Below are 20,403 nucleotides of genomic sequence, written 5' to 3'. Positions count from 1 at the left end.
AATTTAATTTAGTTTAATTTATTTATTTTTATTTTTTGGAGACAGAGTCTCAGTCTGTTGCCCAGGCTGGAGTGCAGAGGCATGATCTCAGCTCACTACAGAACTGTCTCCTGGGTTCAAGAGATTCTCCTGACTCAGCATTCCAAGTACCTGAGATTACAGGTGTCTGCCACCATGCCCAGCTAATTTTTGTATTTTTAGTAGAGAGGGGGCTTCACCATTTTGGCCAGGCTGGCCTTGAACTCCTGACCTCAAGTGATCCACCTGCCTCGGTGTGAGCCACAGCACCTGGCCTGACGTCATCCTTGAATTCTGATTTTTTTTTTTTTGGTGATGGAGTCTCACTCTGTTCTCCAGGCTAGAGTGCAGTGACATGATCTTGGCTCACTGCAACCTCCGCCTCCTGGGTTCGTGTCATTCTCCTGCCTCAGTCTCCCGAGTAGCTGGGACTACAGGCAGCTGCCACCACGACCGGCTAATTTTTTTTGTATTTTTAGTAGAGACGGGGTTTCATCACGTTAGCCAGGATGGTCTCGATCTCCTGACCTCATGATCCGCCCGCCTCAGCCTCCCAAAGTGCTGGGATTACAGGCGTGGGTCACCGTGCCTGGCCCATCCTTGAATATTTTTTCTCGAATACCTCCCATCCACTCCACCAGCAAATCCTTTTGGTCTAACTTCAGCTTATACTCCACCCACACAACCCTATCATCAGAATCCTGTGTCTGAAATAGCCTCCTACTGGTCCCATTTCTATCCCTGCTCCCCTAAAGTTTATTCTGAACATAGCAGCTAGAAAGATTCCTTTGGGGGAAAAAAAAAAAGTGAGATTACGTTTTTTCTCCACTCATAAATATCTAATGTCTTTCAGTGTCTTCCAGAGTAAAAGCCAACAGCCTTATGAAGGACTATGAGTCCTATGCAATGTGCCCTTTTTAATTCCTCTGACCTCATCCTCTCTCCTCTCCCTTCAGCATACCTCCTCTTTGTGACCTTTGCCCTTGCTGTTGCCTGGGCCTGGAACACCTTCCCACACTCCCTTGCCCTCTCTCTATCTGGGCTTCAATATCACCTTCTCAGTAGAGCCTTCTCTGACTACCAAATCCCACACCCCTTCCCCGTCTCTGTTTTGTATTTCTGCATACTTATCACCCTCTGACACATTCCATGTTTTGTTTGTTAGCATTCTGTCTTTCTCTAGTTAATCTTATGCTCCACCAGGGCATACAATTTTGTTTCGTTTACTTCTGTTCTCCACCTAAAACAGTGCCTGGCACATCAGAAGTACTCTATAGATATTGACTGAGTGAATAAATGACAAAAAATAAATTAATATTTCTACTCTTACTATGTAATCTCCCCTACCTCCCACAGAAAGAAAATTAGTAATAAACACTATCTGCTAGAGGCAGTGTTAAAGACACGGCTCTTTCCCTACTCATATGTATGCAGCAGAGTTTTATCATACATATTTCAAGACATTTAAGTATTAAAAATAAAGTTGATGCAGAAAAAATTTATGAATATAGTTTCTGGAAAATTAAATGTAAACAAAAAGTTTTAAAATATATAATTGTAAAAGATTTGGGGGGAAATTACATTTGGAGGATATGAAAGTCAAAGTAAACATTTTAAAATTATAAATAGGTAGGTATAAACTTAGTTTTAAAATCTGACACCAGATGACAAATTTTTATTCTTGTTATTGACCTGTTATGAAATATTTTAGATTACAGATAACCTAATAATTTCAAGGCTAGAGAGACTTTAGCCTAGCCAAGAAACAGTTTTTCTCATCCACATAACGCCAAATGGGAAACTTCTGAGATAATTACAATGACATTTAGCAGTATCTGACCAACTTTAGAAACACACAATGAGAGTCTGCCACTCACCGTTGTTCTGCTGAAACATTAATTTATATAAGCAATGGCACTGAACAAAGGGAAAGGTCATTATTTAAATGACAAAATTTCAATAAAATATCACTTTAATCAGAGGATAAATGAAACCTTACTTTATTATATTTAAATTCACTTAAGGAATGTATTTTACCAACAATTTATCTATAAATCAATTAAATCATTGAGATTTTCAAATATGATTTTGGAAAATATATGTAGAGATTTTTTTTCTTTTTCTTTTTCTTTTTTTTTTTTTTTTGAGACGGAGCTTCGCTCTTGTTGCCCAGGCTGGAGTGCAGTGGCGCCATCTCGGCTCACCGCAACCTCTGCCTCCTGGGTTCAAGTGATTCTCCTACCTCAGCCTCCCAAGTAGCTGGGATTACAGGCGCCTACCACCACGCCCAGCTAAGTTTTGTATTTTTAGTAGAGACGAGGTTTCACCATGTTGGCCAGGCTGGTCTCAAACTCCTGACCTCATGATCCACCTGTCTCGGCCTCCCAAAGTGCTGGGATTACAGGTATGAGCCACCGCACCCAGCCCGAGATTTTTTTTTCTTTCGCCAAAATAATATTTCAGGCTATCCTCAAAAGACTAGTTTCAATAATTTGAGATTGATGCTGAGAATTCCAGAGGTGCAGATGGGTCAATATAGATTTAGGTTTGCTAGTGATGAGTAGGAACACCTAGGGGAAAATGTCAGATAAACCAGGGGAAGCATACACCAATATCCTGCTTACCTTGTTACTGTGCCTGACTTCTCTCTATTTACCTATTTACTTCCTCTGTGTCAACCTTGGCCTACTCTCCTCTCACCTTCTTCTTCCCTAACCCACTAGAATCATATCCTATCAGAAACACTCTTAATTAAACAGACACACAGCATTTTATACATACACAAACACTTCCACACACCCTCTTGCACACACAAGGGCACACATACAGACACACAGGAGCACACATACACATATCCCATCGTATTCTCATATATATCAGACTTTATACTACATTTAAATATGGTGCATCTGTAAACACAGGTACCAATAAACTTGTTTATAGACCCTAACACAAAAGCTGAAAAATGAAATATTAAGCCAACACAGGACTTTTATTTGTATACAATTTATTGATACCAAGTCATTGAAGAAATGTTACTACAATAATGAAAATAAAGTGATACTACAATTTGCTTTAGAATGTTCTTGTGAAAATTATTTATTCTTTAGTGTTCAAGTTTCCTTTATTTTAGTAATTTGGTTAATAACATTTGGTTTGTTTTTTGTTTGTTTGTTTTTGTTTTTATTTTGTTTTCTTTTGAGGCAGAGTCTCGTCTCGCTCTGTCGCCCCGGCTGAAGTGCAGTGGCACAATATCGGCTCACTACAAGCTCCGCCTCCCGGGTTCATGTCATTCTCCTGCCTCAGCCTCCCGAGTAGCCGGGACTACAGGCGCCTGCAACCACGCCTGGCTAATTTTTTTTGTATTTTTAGTAGAGATGGGGTTTCACCGTGTTAGCCAGGATGGTCTCGATCTCCTGACCTCGTGATCTGTCCGCCTCGGCCTCCCAAAGTGCTGGGATTACAGGCGTGAGCCACTGCGCCCGGCCAATAGTATTTGTTTTCACCTCATTTCCTGTGATTGTTTCCCCTCCCTCTTGGAAGGTGTAGAAATTGATGTCTTATTGGATCTATTTATAAGTACGTTGGGAGCATTTTAGCATATAATTTGTAAAAGAAGGGGGAGAATGGGGAGAGGGGTTACATAAAAGAGTGTGTTTGTTTTTCTAGGGTAATGTAAAGGGTAGGTTCTAAGCTCAGTGGGAGTTGAAGTTGGTTCCAGTGTCTTTGGGATTGTGCTATGAGAACTATACTCAGAAGGAGCGTCCTTATCCAAGTTTCCAAAGTTCTAGAACTGTCCTTAACACATGAACCAGTTTATGTGTAGCTGAAGTGGATTGTGTATATTCCCTTTTCTCATCTAAATGCTTTATGTTACTTTGAAACAAGCTTTAGAGTGTTTTGCACACAGTCAACAATCTTTAGAGACTTTAAAACATATTTTTAGAGGAAGCATAATGAAATAGTCATCAAAATTCTTTATGCCTCTGCAAATAGTTGAATTCAGAGGGTTAAGCAGCTCAGCCAGAAAGTGCCGCTATGATGTGGATGAAACAAAATGAAAGCAAACTTTATTCAATGAGAAAATTAGCACCAAAGAAATATTATAAATGCTTACTAGATAAGTATTTACGCTATGAGTCATGACCCATGGTTAGTGAAGTATTCCTCTTCAGCTTTCAGTAACCATGAAGGTAATTTTTATAAAAGTAGTTTTTACCCTACCCATAGTGATAGCTGGAAAAGATAAACTCCTACACAAAGTAGTGGGGGCGGGTATCGGAGGAGGAGGTTACGATCTGTGTGGGAAGCTGTAGGTTGTTGGGGACGCTTTATAGTTCCAGATGGCTCCTACTCATTCAGCATTAGCAATTCCCCGCTTCTTTTTCGTTGCTTAATTGGTCTGTTCTCTCTCTCTCTCTAATCCAATACATAATTTCAAAAAACAGCTTACAGTTCTTATTAAAACGCTTGAGTTTGTATCAAATTGCATCAGCACATGGAATGAATTATTAAGATCTATTCACACACATTTTATTATTCAAGCTGTGTGTTCCTGTAAATACCTTATTGACTTGTTCCATTTTAAAATAAAGATGCTGTGTCATTCAATATACTAAATTCAGCATTTCATTTGAAATTATCCAAAGCCTTAGGTAATACTGTTCACAGCTTATTCCAAGGAAATAATTTCTATCTTTCGTGGTTTGATTTAAGATTGTGGCTCAAAATTACCTTAGTGGAGAATGTTGTCCCCCACAGAAGCATTTACCAAACAGGGATTGCTGCTCTGAATTTCTATGTCTCTTAAAACTGACTGAATTAATTTTCAGATCTTAATAACAATTTTAACTAGTTTTTATCAAAAAACAAAGAATCTCAAACTTTCAACATCATACATGTATTTATACAAATACATTTCTATGTACTATAAGTATCTATGTCTTATATATACTCTGTGTGTGTGCACAAACACACACACTCGTATATAGAAAAGTAAATGAAATGAAAAAAATAAAACAGAAGTCACAGCAGCAGCACACTACAGTTTCACAACCATTCTCAGGTATTTTTACAAGTTCACCTCACCTGAAGAGGTCTCTGGTGTGCAACGCTAATTTGAAAATCTGACATATAGAGGTAATCCCCAGTTTCCCTAAAGAGCTCTGATGATGAGGCTATGCCTCTCTGTCTTTTTAAGAACTCTTTTGCTCCTCATAGTGTGGGGTAAATTGAGTGTGATGCTTACTTCACCAGTCTCAACAGCCTGTCACTACAACCCAAACAGGAACTTCCTCTTTATCCACAATTTTGGCATAAGTCTCTGGCCTAATTTCCAAAACTTAGCTTCTCTCAAAATGTCATCTCAGTCATTTCTGAGAACCCAAGGGAACCATACCATATATCCCCCAGGACAAATGTCTCTGGGTTTTCAGATTCCAGCAGACTTGCCCGACAGTTGCTCAGCTGCCACAGCTGAGTTGACCTTCACAAGCTTGTGGCCTTCTGTGGACACCAGTCCTCCAGTGTGATTCTGCTGGTGTTCCCTAGATGGCTTCAGGGAGGGTGGCTGCTCTTCAAAATTCCTGTTGCACAACTGAGATCAGGCTGTAATTTTTATCAAGAATTTCCTGAAAAGTTAACAGAAATGTAACTCAGAAGACAGCTTACAACTGCTACTAGAGATCAAAAGTGGCCTTTATCTTCCCGGGTAGCCTGTGATCAAGGCCAGCTCAACTCCCTCTATTCCCACAAAAAATTTTAAATGTCTAAGCCTCATGATCCAGGGCCCTTCTTTTTTGCCCAAGCTGATTGACATAACATGTTCTAGGTACTGTACATACATCCTCTTCAATTCTCACAACAACTCCATAATGATGATTATAACAACAATAATAATCCTACTTGCAGATGTGAAAAATAAAGCCCAAAGAGGTTAAAAGTTATCCTAGCCGAGATCACAAAGCCAGGATTTGAAAATCATGTAAGTATCTGACTCCCTCACATTTAGCTTTGGGAATCTAGAAGCAACTAAAACTCTGATAGTGTTTAGAGCACTGACCTCAAGTACACATTTTAATGAAACTCTAGCAGGCTTACCAATTGATGCAGCAATTCCACTAGTGGGTATCTACCCAGAGAAAAAGAAGTCATTATATGAAAAAGATACTTGCACACACATGTTTATAGCAGTACAGTTAGCAATTGCAAAAATATGAAACCAGCCCAAATGCCCTTCAGTCAGTGAGTGGATAAAGATACCGTGAGTCCGGACGCTCACGCCTGTAATCCCAGCACTTTGAGAGGCCGAGGCAGGTGGATCACCTGAGGTCAGTAGTTCGAGACTGGCCTGGACAACATGGTGAAACCCTGTCTCTACTAAAAATACAAAGAATTAGTGTGATGGCAGGCACCTGTAATTCCAGATGGTTGGGAGGCTAAGGCAGGAGAATCGCTTGAACCCGGGAGTCAGAGGTTGCAGTGAGCCGAGATCATGCCATTGTACTCCAGCCTGGGCAGCAAAAGTGAAACTCCATCTCAATAAATAAATAAATAAATAAATAATTTAAAAAATTATATATATATATATATATATATATATATATATATATATATATATATATCTCAATACTACTCAGCCATAAAAAGGAATGAAATAATGGCATTCTCAGCAAATGGGTAGAATTGGAGACCATTATTCTAAGTGGTTATACTCAGGAATATTATACTCAGGAATGGAAACCAAATGTCCTATGTTCTCACTCATAAGTGGGAACTAATCTATGAGGATGCAAAGGCATGAGAGTAATACAATGGACTTTGGGTATTCCATGGCAAGGGTGGGAGGAGGGTGAGGGATAAAAGACTACAAATTAGGTACAGTGTACACTGCTCAGGTGATGGGTGCATCAAAATCTCAGAAATCACCACTAAAGAACCTATCCATGTATCAAAACACCCCCTGTTCCCCTAAAACCTATGGAAATAAACAATAAAAATAATAAAAAAAAACTCTGGCAGTCTTGAGTGAAAGAGATGAGTGGGTACATTGGCAGTGAGGAAGGAGCCAGGAGCAGGAGAGCAGCAGCCCATATTGTGGATAGGCTAGGAGGAAGAGCTGACTCAGGTAGACCCACATGGGAAATTTGAAACACCTACCTTTTTGGCCTACCAATCTCCAGCAGAATTAAAGCTTGTGTGCTCTGAATTCAGAGGAAGAAATGTTCCTTCCCTCTGGCTGCCTTGCCTTGTGGCAAGAATCTCAATAGATCTGGATACTGCACCCCAGTATCATGTGTAGCAGGGAGAGAGGGAGGCAATGCTGTTTCCATTGTCCTTAAGCAAAAGTTTCTTCCTATTCCAAAGAAAGTCCAAATCTTACAGGTAAGACATGAATTAAGCCATGGTTCATTTGATGGCTTGGACGTGAAGGTGGTTCTCCATAAGCCATAAGTCACCGTGCTGTTTGCAGAGGTGTGGAATGTGATGTGGAGACATTAGCACCAAAAGCTAGAACCTGGAGATCCAAGGCCAAGGCCAAGAAAGGCGTGTGAGCCCCAGAGAGGAAGCTCACCACTGGAGAGGCCAGAAATCAGAAGAAGCAATGGGTGTGTAACTGGTGGGCAGCCACAAGTCAAGCAATAAGGTCAAGGCAAATTATTCATCAGTGAGACAAGCAAGAACACAAGTTCTCTTCAAAAACGTGGATAACAATTTATAGCTGTATCTGCTTGACATAATTAACTGCAGATGGTACAATTCTTTGTAGTGTCATGTAGATTTCACAATTTCTCTAAAATATAGCTATTTTGATGGCCACTTATTTTATTTTATCTGCTCTCTCTAATTATTTGGGGCAACAGTCTCATCTTCAAGTCATTTTACCTTCACCTTCAAGATTCTACATGCTCTTATCAGCAAATAGAGTGACAACAATTCTTACAAGTTTGTATATTCAGGTCAAAATCTGAGCTGAGAAAGTAAAATGCCTTTTTGAGATTTTATTGCAGAAATTTCTGTGTTCCAACAACATGCTACTATCTTCAAGGTAATTTATACAGAACTAAGATAATACACTTCTTCCTCAGTTGTGATAAAAACATGATTATTAAAGATGTACATATATTCCTGAACAACATATTTTAGTTCTACCCTCTAAGTATAACTAAACCTGACTTCATAATCCTAAATTCTCAGGTCAATAGCCAGAAGGCTCCTTTTGACCACAGAACTTCCAGAATTGTACATACAAGCCTCATGGACAGGCAAGCCATCCTCCTTTCTAAAGAACAGTACTCATATGATAATTCTAGAATCTGCTCTACTCAGAACCACCTTCCTCAGGGAGTTATCTTTTACTTAACTTTCCAGACTCTGACCTAGCACTTTTGTTCAGTCACACTTTGTGTGTGATTTCAAGCTATCCTTTCACTGGTCAAGATTTCCAACAGATGGCAACTGGATGAACTCATAATCACTGAGGGAATTCTCCAGGTGAGAGATTGATTGTAATTTTTTTTTTTTAGTATTTATTGATCATTCTTGGGTGTTTCTCGGAGAGGGGGATTTGGCAGGGTCATAGGACAATAATGGAGAGAAGGTCAGCAGATAAACACGCAAACAAAGGTCTCTGGTTTTCCTAGGCAGAGGACCCTGCCGCCTTCCGCAGTGTTTGTGTCCCTGGGTACTTGAGATTAGGGAGTGGTGATGACTCTTAAGGAGCATGCTGCCTTCAAGCATCTGTTTAACAAAGCACATCTTGCACCGCCCTTAATCCATTTAACCCTGAGTTGACACAGCACATGTTTCAGAGAGCACGGGGTTGGGGGTAAGGTTATAGATTAACAGCATCCCAAGGCAGAAGAATTTTTCTTAGTACAGAACAAAATGGAGTCTCCTATGTCTACTTCTTTCTACACAGACACAGTAACAATCTGATCTCTCTTTCTTTTCCCCACATCTCCCCCTTTTCTATTTGACAAAACCGCCATCATCATCATGGCCCGTTCTCAATGAGCTGTTGGGTACACCTCCCAGACGTGGCGGCTGCCGGGCCGAGGCACTCCTCAGTTCCCAGACCGGGTCGCGGTCGGGCAAAGGCACTTCTCACTTTCCATACGGGGCGGCCGGGCAGAGGGGCTCCCCACTTCCCAGATGGGGTGGCTGCCGGGCAGAGGCACTCCTCACCTCCCAGGCGGGGTGGCCGGGCAGAGGCACTCCTCTCTTCCCAGTCGGGGCAGCTGGGCAGAGACGCTCCTCACATCCCAGACGGGGTGTTGGCCGGGCAGAGGCGCTCCTCACTTCCCAGGCGGGGTGGTGGCCGGGTAGAGCTGCTCCTCACCTCCCAGACGGGGCTGCCGGGCAGAGGCGCTCCTCACATCCCAGATGAGGCAGCCGGGCGGAGGGGCTCCTCACATCCCAGACAATGGGCGGCCAGGCAGAGACGCTCCTCACTTCCTAGACGGGGTGGCGGCCAGGCAGAGGCTGCGAGATCTCAGCACTTTGGGAGGCCAAGGCAGGCTGCTGGGAGGTGGAGGCTGTAGCCAGCCGAGATCACGCCACTGCACTCCAGCCTGGGCAACATTGAGCACTGAGTGAGCAAGACTCCGTCTGCAATCCCGGCACCTCGGGAGGCCGAGGCGGGCAGATCACTGGAGGTCAGTAGCTGGAGACCAGCCTGGCCAACAGGGCGAAACCCCCTCTCCACCAAAAATACAAAAACCAGTCAGGCGTGGCGGCGCACGCCTGCAATCCCAGGCACTCGGCAGGCTGAGGCAGGAGAATCAGGCAGGGAGGTTGCAGCCAGCCGAGATCACGGCAGTACAGTCCAGCCTTGGCAACAGAGGGAGACTGTGGAAATCGGGAGAGGGAGGGGGAGCGGGAGCGGGAGGTGGAGAGGGAGCGGGAGGGGGAGCTGGAGAGGGAGCGGGAGCGGGAGCGGGAGAGGGAGAGGAAGCGGGAGAGGGAGAGGGAGATTGTAATTTTTAACCCACAATATCTTTTCTACAATCTCCAATAACCACACAATTATTTTATTGAACCTTTCGAAATACTTTCAAATCTGCTTTATTGGGAGTAACTGCCACATTGATGTTTACCTTGATTCCTCTTCTTTTTGGCCAACCTAGTTTAACTGTCTACCTCTAACTATCACAGCAAAAAGTCAGGAAGTAGTTTCAGCTCAAGCCAAGACCTTTGATCTCCAATATTACTGTTCTATGATTGTGCAGATGTGGACCCAAAGAAAGGTCCTGGGAATTGGATACCCTCACAACCCTTTGATCTTTTCCACCCTTTGCTGCTCATAGGCAATGATCCTAAGTCTCACCTCACTGCCCATCCCGGGATTTTCTGAAGCATGAAGCAGGAAATATTGTCTAGATGAACTTTCCATTTATAGGATGACACAGACCCCTTATAGGAAGGGCAAGAACAGGTAGGAAATTTTAGTCTCATCTCAAAGGGTCCTGGGATACAGTAGTTGTTCTGACTACTGATGCTAATGGTTGATTCCACCATGTGATCTCTGATCCTGATCTAGCATGTCCTACTGTCTGACTACTCTGGCCTGTCTGCCCCTTGGTTCTGTGTTTTGAGTTTCTCCGGTAACTTAATATCCTGGTTCAATGTTTTGACTGGGTTTTCTGTACTCTCTGGCAAGTCAGACATCCTGGCCTCCCGCAGAGCACTCTGCTGCCCATAGTCTAGCAGTTCTGCCAGCTGAAGCTCAACTTGCACTGAGACATTTCCCATTAAGGCTTTAATAACTACTATAACAACAGTTGCTTTCCAATTTCTGCTTGTTCTGAAACTACTTGCTAACTTGAGGAAGTTATAAAAAGTTATCTTCTAATTCTAAACTTTGTTTGCACTAAGCCTCACCTCACTTTGTTTTTTCCCCATTTGAACTCTTAGTTCGGGTACATCCATTGGGGATGACTTTGGCCATTTATCCAAAAGGCGTATACAGAACTCTACATGAATGTGTGAATCATTCACAACTCTGAGGCTCTTTTATTTTCACTTATCAACCCCAGAAGGTTTTGCTTAGGTGCAAGGTGGATATCTTTTTCTGAAAGAGCTTTAGGAGTTTTTCCCATAAGAAAAGCAATCAAAGTGAGAACAGAGCCCAGCTTTCCAAGGAGCACTGGCCACAGCTGTCTTTATGAGCAAAGGACCAGAGGACGTGCAGCTGCTGGATCTTCAGGCTACCCCCAAATAGGCAGGGACAGGTCCCCAGAGTCACTCCCTCAGAGAGGCAGCAAAGCATGGCTCTGTCAGAGACGGGAATTGAGGAGCCTGGGCGGAGAGCGTGCTAGGCAGAAGTTTGAGATGTGGTTTCAGAATGAGGAAAGAAGGTCTCCAGACTTGCTTGAGAGATGTCAGAGCAAAAGATAATAGGTAATCATTTGCATTATTTGTTTCTTTTCTTGGAAGTGGGCCTGTGGGCTGTGAATTGGATATCCTTCAAAGTTTTCCAAAAGACAAAAGTAAAACTAGAATTAAATTGTAATGTTTAATAGTTGTACATATTTTAGTACCTGATAAGGCAGTCTATTAGTTTTTGCTGTATAGCAAATCACTCTAAAACTTAGTGATATAATATAACAACCAATTATTTAGCTCTTAATTCTCACAGAGGCTGGTGAGGCCAGGCAATCACACTTCTGGGGCTTGGCTGGCTTTAACAAGGAGGAGAGTGAGTAGGGCATGGGAGGCACCTGATAATATGTCTCTCCTCTTGGTGGAAGACAATAAAAAGTCACATTGCTTCTTTTATTAAGAGGTGGAATCTATTTTTCCAGGCCTTGAATCTGGAATGCCCTTGTAACTTGCTTTGGCCAATAAAATATGCAGGAAGCATAGTTGTACCATTTCTGAGCCTATGCCTCAAGAGATCTATTCCCATTTACTCTCTCTCTCTCTCTTTGTTTTTTTTTAGAACTCTGCTAGTCACCAATGAAATATTAATGAAATTTCATTGAAATCTGAATTGCAATTTTGGGAAGAATGCATGGTTTAAAACTGGCTATTTCAGGTAGAGAACCAAACTTACACAATATTGAGTTGCTTCAATAATTTAAGGAAAACTCATTATCTATCTTATGAAGCGGTAAATCTGCCATTACCTTTTACCCAACTCCATGAAGCACTAAATTTCTTAGGAAACAACAAGTGTTTAGGTTATTATTATTATTATTTTGGGACAGAGTCTTGCTCTGTTGCCCAGGCTGAAGTGCAGTGCCACAGTCTCAGGTCACTGCAACCTCTACCTCCCAAGTTCAAGCAATTCTCCTGCCTCAGCCCCCTGAGTAGCTGGGATTACAGGCGCCTGCCACCACACCCAGCTAATTTTTGTATTTTTAGTAGAGACGGAGTTTCACCACATTGGACAGGCTGGTCTTGAATTCCTGACCTCAGATGATCCACCTGCCTTGGCCTCCCAAAGTGCTGGGAATACAGGCATAAGCCACCATGTCCAGCCTTATGTTTGTTTTGATTATCAGAGACTTACTGCTCTGCTTCACTGATATAAACCAGATTCCATATGGAGGTAGCTATTACTGTATGACTTATAATCAAGCAGGCTTTTGAACCATGTGCATAAATTATTTTTAACATAAACTAGAGAAATTCATAGAAAGCACTTCTCTAAGATCCTGAGGAACAATTCTGAGTTTTGTTAGAATACACTAGTGACACAGACAGCACGGAAGCCTCAGAGTTTGAAAAAAATCAACAGCCATATATGAGATTCCACACCTCAACTCTGGGGTGGCTCATGGTCTCAGACACATACAAATCATATACAGGGGCCTCACTGCCCAAGAACAAGTGGTCTAGAGTAGACAGTGACTGAGATTCACATGGTTTCCTGTTCCATTTGGAAGGCAATCACATAGATCAGGTGGGAGAAGTGACAAAAAGATGCTTGAACAAAGAGAAATAGGCCAAGTCCAAGTGAAATACACTTATAGCCAAGAATGGCTGAAAAATCTTGATACTCCCACACTAGGATGAAATACGAAAAGATGTTTCCAGTGGCCCTTCAAGGGCAGGACAATGAAGGAGATCCAATTCAAGAAAATGTGGACTCCGAGAGCTGGAAAAAATGTAAGTTTGCCATAGCTTCTGAAGTCAGACCCAACAAACAAGAACCTGGGGCTAGAAATAAGCAAGTTCTCCAATTGCAGTCAGCAAACACCTCACCTATAACTTTATTCTCTGACTCCATACCCTCCGATCAGACTGGATCTCAGTTTGGAGACCCCATTCACTAATTTGTCTTCATCAGGATGGGATGAGTCACAAATGGGAGGGCCACTTATCCCTGGTATTCACAAACTCTGCCATGGATAGGTAATGAAAACACTATCTCCTTGATAACATTCTGCTTCTTGATGTGGGTGCTGGTTACGCTGGTGTATTTAGTTTTTGAAAACTCATCAAATGCAAATGTATATGTACTATTTCTATATATTATGCATCAATTTAAAATGTAAAAGAAAAAAAAGAAAGATTACCTCCTAAATGCTTTCAACATTGAGGTTTGGACATAGCCCTGTATTTTTTTCGAATGAGTTGAAAAGGGACATCTAGAGGCAGCTTGGCTTGTAACTTGAGACGATGTTTTCCAGAGAAACAAATACTCTCTTTCATGTTACCCATGGTCCCAGCCCGAGCACACTCCTCTTCCCAGTCCTAGGAATGAAAGAAGGAATCATCCAGACACTACTCTGCTAAATCTGGCAGAGGCTCCTGAGTGCAATGACACTGACCAGGAAAAACAAAGATGAGGATCCTGCTGGACTGTAACTAGGACTCTGGAGTGCAAAATGAATGTTGACTTTCTCAATGTGGACAGTGACATACGTTTTACTACAGTTTCTCCAGAAATGCTTCTTAACCATTTATTGTGAGAATTACAGTCAAGAGAGTAAATTATTACATTCTTTAGATGGTCCTTGCAGGTAAATGACCCAATCTGTGGAAAGTCAGGTTCTATCAGTCCTCAAGGGGACTGGGCTTTGTTTTATGGTGACTGAGACATCAAACTACTTTGGTGGGGTCTGGATATATTCAAGAGAAGTAAAGCAGAAAAAATGGAAGTGAATGCAGAAGTTGAATGGGCAGAGAGAAATTGGAAACAATGAAATCTTTAAAGTTTAGCTTTGGATCAGGTTTTCACCCCAACTGACTTTAGAAATTCTTGGTTTATTTGTATAAAAGTCATAATAATCACTGTATGAGATTGTGGGAAAAATACAGGCTTCTGAGACTCACAAACCAGGGTGTGTTGGGCCTTAGATTCTGCATTGCTATCAATTTTCCTGGTAATACCAGTACTGTTGATCCAAAGACTCCACTTTAAGTAGAAAGGAGATAATGTTTGTAAAGCATCTGGTATACCATAGATGATCAGAAATAATTGCTAATCATTATTTTCTATCATCATTGTCATCAAAATCACATGTGTGAATTCCTTCCATTACAATTAATTATATACCACAACAATGATAATGTTATTAAGTTAAACAATAATTGTAAAATACTTATTTCAGCAATAAACTCTGTCCATATATGCTTATTCCTTATATTACACAATTTTTTAGTATTTACAGTTTTAAAAACAAGAGACTATGAAAGCCTGTTGAATTTATGACATTTTTTATTCTCTCTCTTCATTGTAATAGATATAGAAGATTGTGTGAAGTATTCTTAGTATTGCCCAATTAGAAATATTATTACCAATAAGAATACTTGTTGGCTTCATTCAGTAACAAAATGTTACGCCTTGTACAATATCACTTATTATATGTATAGAGGAGATAAGTATTAGAAGAATATACACCAAATTTTCTGAAAATGACTGTCATCTTTGGAAATCACATTCTAATAATAGGAGTCTACTTCTCCTTTTTTTTCCTTTTCATGTAGTATAGTTTTATACTGCTTAAATTTTGCATGATTCTTATGTTTGGCTTTGTAATTTAAAATATTTTTAAAAATAATTATTATTTTGGGTCTTTGGCTATGCTTGACTTTCCAGAATCCTAGCATCTTTGTAAAATAGAGAAAATTGTCTTAAGACTGAAGTACTTCTTCTTAATGTCAAATGTTTTTACAGCACAATGAAGTACACAAGAAGACAGCTTTTCTAAAGGCCTAATTACTCCTTTTCAGGAAATTAAGCATTCTGTTATATAACTGTTAAATTGTACTGGGAGTCCAACTCTTTTAGGTCTTTGGTACTTTGGTTTAATATCTGAAATCAGTTATGCTATTAATTCTGTAAGTAGAATCAACTCAGAGTATACACACTGTAGAGCAATGTGAGGGTCATAGTTTTGGGATATTTTTTCACAATGATACAAAGGACCTTAAGAAGACTATTGTTTTCATGCCATAAAACCAATCAAAATGGAAATGTGTTGTTTGCTATTTGGGGTGATATCAAATTAAACTCTTCGACTGGGAAGGGATTTTTAGGCACTATGTATACCAGTCTCATTTTTAGATAAAGGAATTGAAGCCTCCAGGGATTAAATGAATCTGATATGTAATAAGTATGTTAGAACAAATGCCCCTGGAGAATAATGCATTGGTTTAAATTAAACTTCTATAAACAGTTTTCTCTCCTTGGTGTATAAAATTACTTTTGATACAAGCTTTAAAATGTCTTTGTGAGTTTCAAAGTGCTAGAGGTAAACTTTTACATTTGTTATATAATCTTTTGGGTCTTTTGGGATAAAACAATGAGGGCTCTTCTCAAACTTCAGCTTAGTGAATGACTTTACCTTAAAATATCCATAAACTTAATCATTTTCGTAACTGTTTTGATAGTTCCAGAGTTCCTGTCTATTCCCAAGTGCATGAACCCCACAATACCGTAGAGCTGGAGTGAAGATCTGAAGATCATATAAAAACAACTGACTGTAAATGAAGGTCATAGAAGGTGGAAACCACAGCTTAACATTAGAAGTTATTTTTTCCATTTTAGATTTTCAACTGAAAACAAGAAACTGCTATAAGAAAAATGTCCCTTCAAATGTCTCTGTATTAAAAAACAGAAAAGGATACAGATATGGTGAGGGTAAAAGTCAAAGGGCCCGAGTGTCAAGGAGTTCTTTGGGGACTTCTCTGTCAACACCTGGGATTGCCTTTTAAAGATCACCATGTCTTTTGGGCCTGGCTTACAGTGATAACTGGACTTTGGTCCCAAACAGCTGCATTTCTGATTTATCTACATCCATGGTTCATCTCCTTTTTTTCATCCTCTTTAGTAAGGAGATTTATGCCCATCCTCTGTCCCAATAGTTTACATGATATATCCTCTTTTTGGCAGCATTTTACAGAACAAAAGTTGACTACAGTTCTTAGGAAAAAGCAGAACTGTGATACTTTAATGATTTAAATCATGTGTTGTTTACCCCTTTGCTATCCATGTCAGAGTAAAGACAAAAGCACATATACAGTAATGGAAGAGAATGTAGCAAAAATGCATTGAACGACTTGTTTCTCTAAAATAAGAGTCATCAAATATTGAAATCAGCTAGCCATACTTCTAGTTGTGATATGAGTTTGTATCTGTGAGAAAAAAAATGCCATTCTTTTTTATGAAGAGCAGAAAGCCCAAACTAACACTAAAGTTTGTTCCTAATAAACTGAGCCAGGAGAGAGTAGAACACAAGCCCATATTATTACCCTTTCTAGTTTGATATCCAGTCCAGCTGAGACTTCTAGCACAGCCACCCTCTGTCCTTTAAGTAATATTACAGATGATGTTCTGAAGTTGCCATGGGAATATACTCTCTAGTTTGCCTCTCTCATCAAAACAATAAAGACCAAAGTTTGGCAAGAGGCCATGGCCTCCATCTTGAAAGACACCGGAGGGTCATTAAATGTCCCTAATCCACAGAAAGCTCTCACCTAACAGACAAAATCCAGATCGAACACTTCCTGAGGAAACTGTACTTAAATGGGACAAACATTGCCAGGTTGGCTTTATCACACTTTGTAGAAACACCCTATGGTGGTGAAGACTTTTAAAATAATTTCCTCAACTGTGACAACTACATTTATTGTCTCCACTCAATCTCCATTTCTTACCCATGATTTGGAACTTGAATGTTGGGAGGCCGAGAGGGAAAGCAGCCTGAGTCTGTGGTGGAGAGGGAGGGAGGAGAGTGCCTGGAATTTCGCCAGAAAGTAAGCATGTGGAAGCACTTTGCCTGTCTTCTCGAGGACACCTGTGGACAGCCTACACACGAGGCACGCGGTGAGGTCCATGAGATCTTACTCTTGAGTGACGCATTCAGCTCATCTTCAGAGACAAGTTGGATTTGCCCTTTCTCAAGCCTAAAGCTTGGAAATTTTGTTATCTTAGGCTCTTTAATACTCTCGATGAATAAAAGAAGAAACATTGAATATGACTGCTTTTTTCCCCCCAACTCTAAATGGCCTTGTCTTACTTCGCCAGTCTCATTTTCTCCTTTCCTCCCCCATTTCCTTCAGACACTTGTACCCTCAGACATGTGAAATTAATTTTGGATCGATCACTTTCGACACTGGTCTTCAAGTTTTATTAATTTTTTTCCTAACTCATTTCCTCATTTTTCCCTGAAGGTAAATCACTAAACAAAATACTCTATTGTGAACAGTAAAAATCATTTAGTTGGCACATTGCCAGTTTCTGCTCACAGTTGATGTCAGGTGGCTTAGATGTATACAAGAAGCAATACAGCATTTTATGTGCAAATAATGCATTTATTTCATGGTGGCATTCAACAGAGTCCAGTTTCCCCTCTACAGTTAGAACGGTGAGAAGCAGTGATAACAACATCTGTCTTTCTGTTTTATAGACTCTTCTCTGCCAATAACAGTTCCATGAGATAAATAAATATGGTGTCTTTCTACATTTTCATTTGACTAGCATTACCATCCTCACCATCCATCTCAGAGTTTGGGGTTTTTTTGTTTGTTTGTTTGTTTTGAAACGGAGTCTCACTCTGTTACCAGGCTGGAGTGCTGTGGTGCGATCTTGGCCCACTGCAACCGCTGACTCCCTGGTTCAAGCGATTCTCCTGCCTCAGCCTCCTGAGTAGCTGGGATTACAGGCAGGCGCCACCACACCCAACTAATTTTTGTATTTTTAGTAGAGATGGTGTTTCACCATGTTGAGCAGGATGGTCTTGATCTCCGGACCTCGTGATCTGCCTGCCTCGGCCTCCCAAAGTGCTGGGATTACAGGCGTGATTTGTTTTTTTTTTTTTTTTTGGAGACAGAGTCTCACTCTGTTGCCCAGGCTGGAGTGTAGTGGTGTGATCTCAGCTCACTGCAACCTCCACCTCCCAGGTTCAAGCAATTCTCCTGCCTCAGCCTCCTGAGTAGCTGGGACTACAGGTGCATGCCACCATGCCTGGCTAATTTTTTTGTATTTTAGTAGAGATGGGGTATCACTGTGTTGCCCAGGCTGGTTCTGAACTCCTGAGCTCAGGCAATACGCCTGCCTTGGCCTCCCAAAGTACTGGGATTACAGGCGTGAGCCACCGCACCCTGCCACGGGTGTTTGTTTTTTTAGAGGCAGAGTCTCACTATGTTGCCCAGGCTGGACTAGAATTCCTGGGCTCAACTGATCCTCCCACCTCAGCCTCCCAAGTAGCTGAGTTATCCCATAGTTTTTGATGGAAATAACTTCTTGCTTGGATCAGCACTCTCTGAAATATGCTTCTGTACTCTCCCTCCACACTTAAATTGATGTGATTGTCAAATGAAAAGACATGTGGCTTAAGACAAGATCGTCTTTCAACACACTTTGGGAAAACTTCAGTTCTAATAATAGCAATCACATTGTGAATTTGCATAGCATTCTGTAATTTTAAAAGTACTTTCAGGAAAGAAAGACATTAGTTAGATCTGAAGATTCCAGTCTGTAGGGATGGCTTAAACTTTTAACCTCCTTGCTGTTGACTGATTAATTTCTCCTTGTTCTTTTGATATTGCACTAAAATAGCATACTCTTATGAAATATTAAGTAATTAATTTTCTCACATTGAAAGAAACTAACAGGGTAAATGTCATTTTGTGTTCATTTAAAAGGCTTTTTAAAAGACATATTCAAAATGCTTTAGAGGACCTTGAAACAATGGAATTTTCATATCAGATGTATTTAATTTCATAACTCAGGTTAAGGATGGACTGTTTACTTCCTAAGCTCTGTTTTGATTTTCTTTTTCAGTTCACTGCATATGCAAGCTACATCATATAATAGATTATTTTTTAAAATTTTTGAAAATACAGAAACTAAGATACAGTACAGAAAAAGAAAATACAGTAAAGAAAAATGTAAGAAACAGTTACAGCTTTACCAACCAGGATTGATATTTACAGCATTTTGTAATGAAAAAGATAATGTTGAGGCCCCCTTTGTCTCACATTTCCCAAGGCATGTCTGTAGAAGTGGAAGTGTAGAAGGGGCTCATCGTTGTCCATCTGCTTTTCTGAAGTCTTAACTCCTGTTGTGATGAGAGTTAAAGTAGAGCAAACAATCAAACTCTGAGACAATGTCTCCTCCAGCATATCGCCAGTATGCTAGCTGCCATTTTCTTAATCTTACCATGCCTATCTGACAAATGAATACTTCAATATAAGCAAATGGTATAACTAATCAATAATAATCACTATTAGGCACTTCATCAGCAAACATTTTATTCCCAAACTGGTACAAATGTCTTTAGCAGTTTGGAGAGGTTTGCCACTACTAATGATTATGCAGACTGTTTTCTGGTATGGCAAGAAAAATTCACATAATTCCTAATGATATAGTGCCAGTGAAGCCACATAGAGACTCTAAATATAATTTCCCCTCTAAGTAAGAAAACACTCAGCAAGTCCTATTTTTAAAAGGTAACCAGCTTATTTCTAAATTACTTTAAAGGTTGACTGTTTAAATGTTAACCTGGGTGCTAGCTCTCTCAGGGAAAGAAATAGGAAGATGAAACACAGGAACATTCCTAGAAATGAGTGTGTGACCTATGTGGTCCTTACAGTAAGTTATACTAATTCTAAATTTATGTTTATGTGTTGTGGCCCTATTAAGCTGATCTAACTTTTCCATTAAGTGGGCAGGTAGATTTCCTGTAGTACTCCTGATTGCCTGAAGAGGTATACTGTTTTCTTGTGTTTCCATTACAACATAGAGACTAAGAGGGAATCCTCTGTGGTATTTTCACATAGGTTGTGAATCTTTTATCTGTAGGTTGTATTTGTATCTGAGAGGTGAATATTAATAGTCTCTTGGCAGCAGAATGACTTTCTTAAAAAAGGGGTTTCCCTGTGTATGGGTGGATTAACCTTTCAAAATACATGTTTCTACTTAAACCACTT

At 40.5% G+C, this 20,403-nt stretch overlaps 1 annotated feature.

The window, feature by feature from the left end:
* Nucleotides 9,374-9,873: an enhancer, noted in NCBI's record as "H3K4me1 hESC enhancer chr4:122159169-122159668 (GRCh37/hg19 assembly coordinates)". NCBI's record gives its function as "activates a minimal SCP1, AML or CMV promoter by ChIP-STARR-seq in naive H9 embryonic stem cells {active_cell/tissue: H9 hESC(naive)}" and the evidence as "EXISTENCE:reporter gene assay evidence [ECO:0000049][PMID:30033119]".

The sequence above is a fragment of the Homo sapiens genome, chromosome 4 (genome assembly GCF_000001405.40).
Source record: "Homo sapiens chromosome 4, GRCh38.p14 Primary Assembly".
NCBI classification, from domain to species: Eukaryota; Metazoa; Chordata; class Mammalia; order Primates; family Hominidae; genus Homo; species Homo sapiens.
This window is presented reverse-complemented; position numbering and strand designations above follow the sequence as displayed.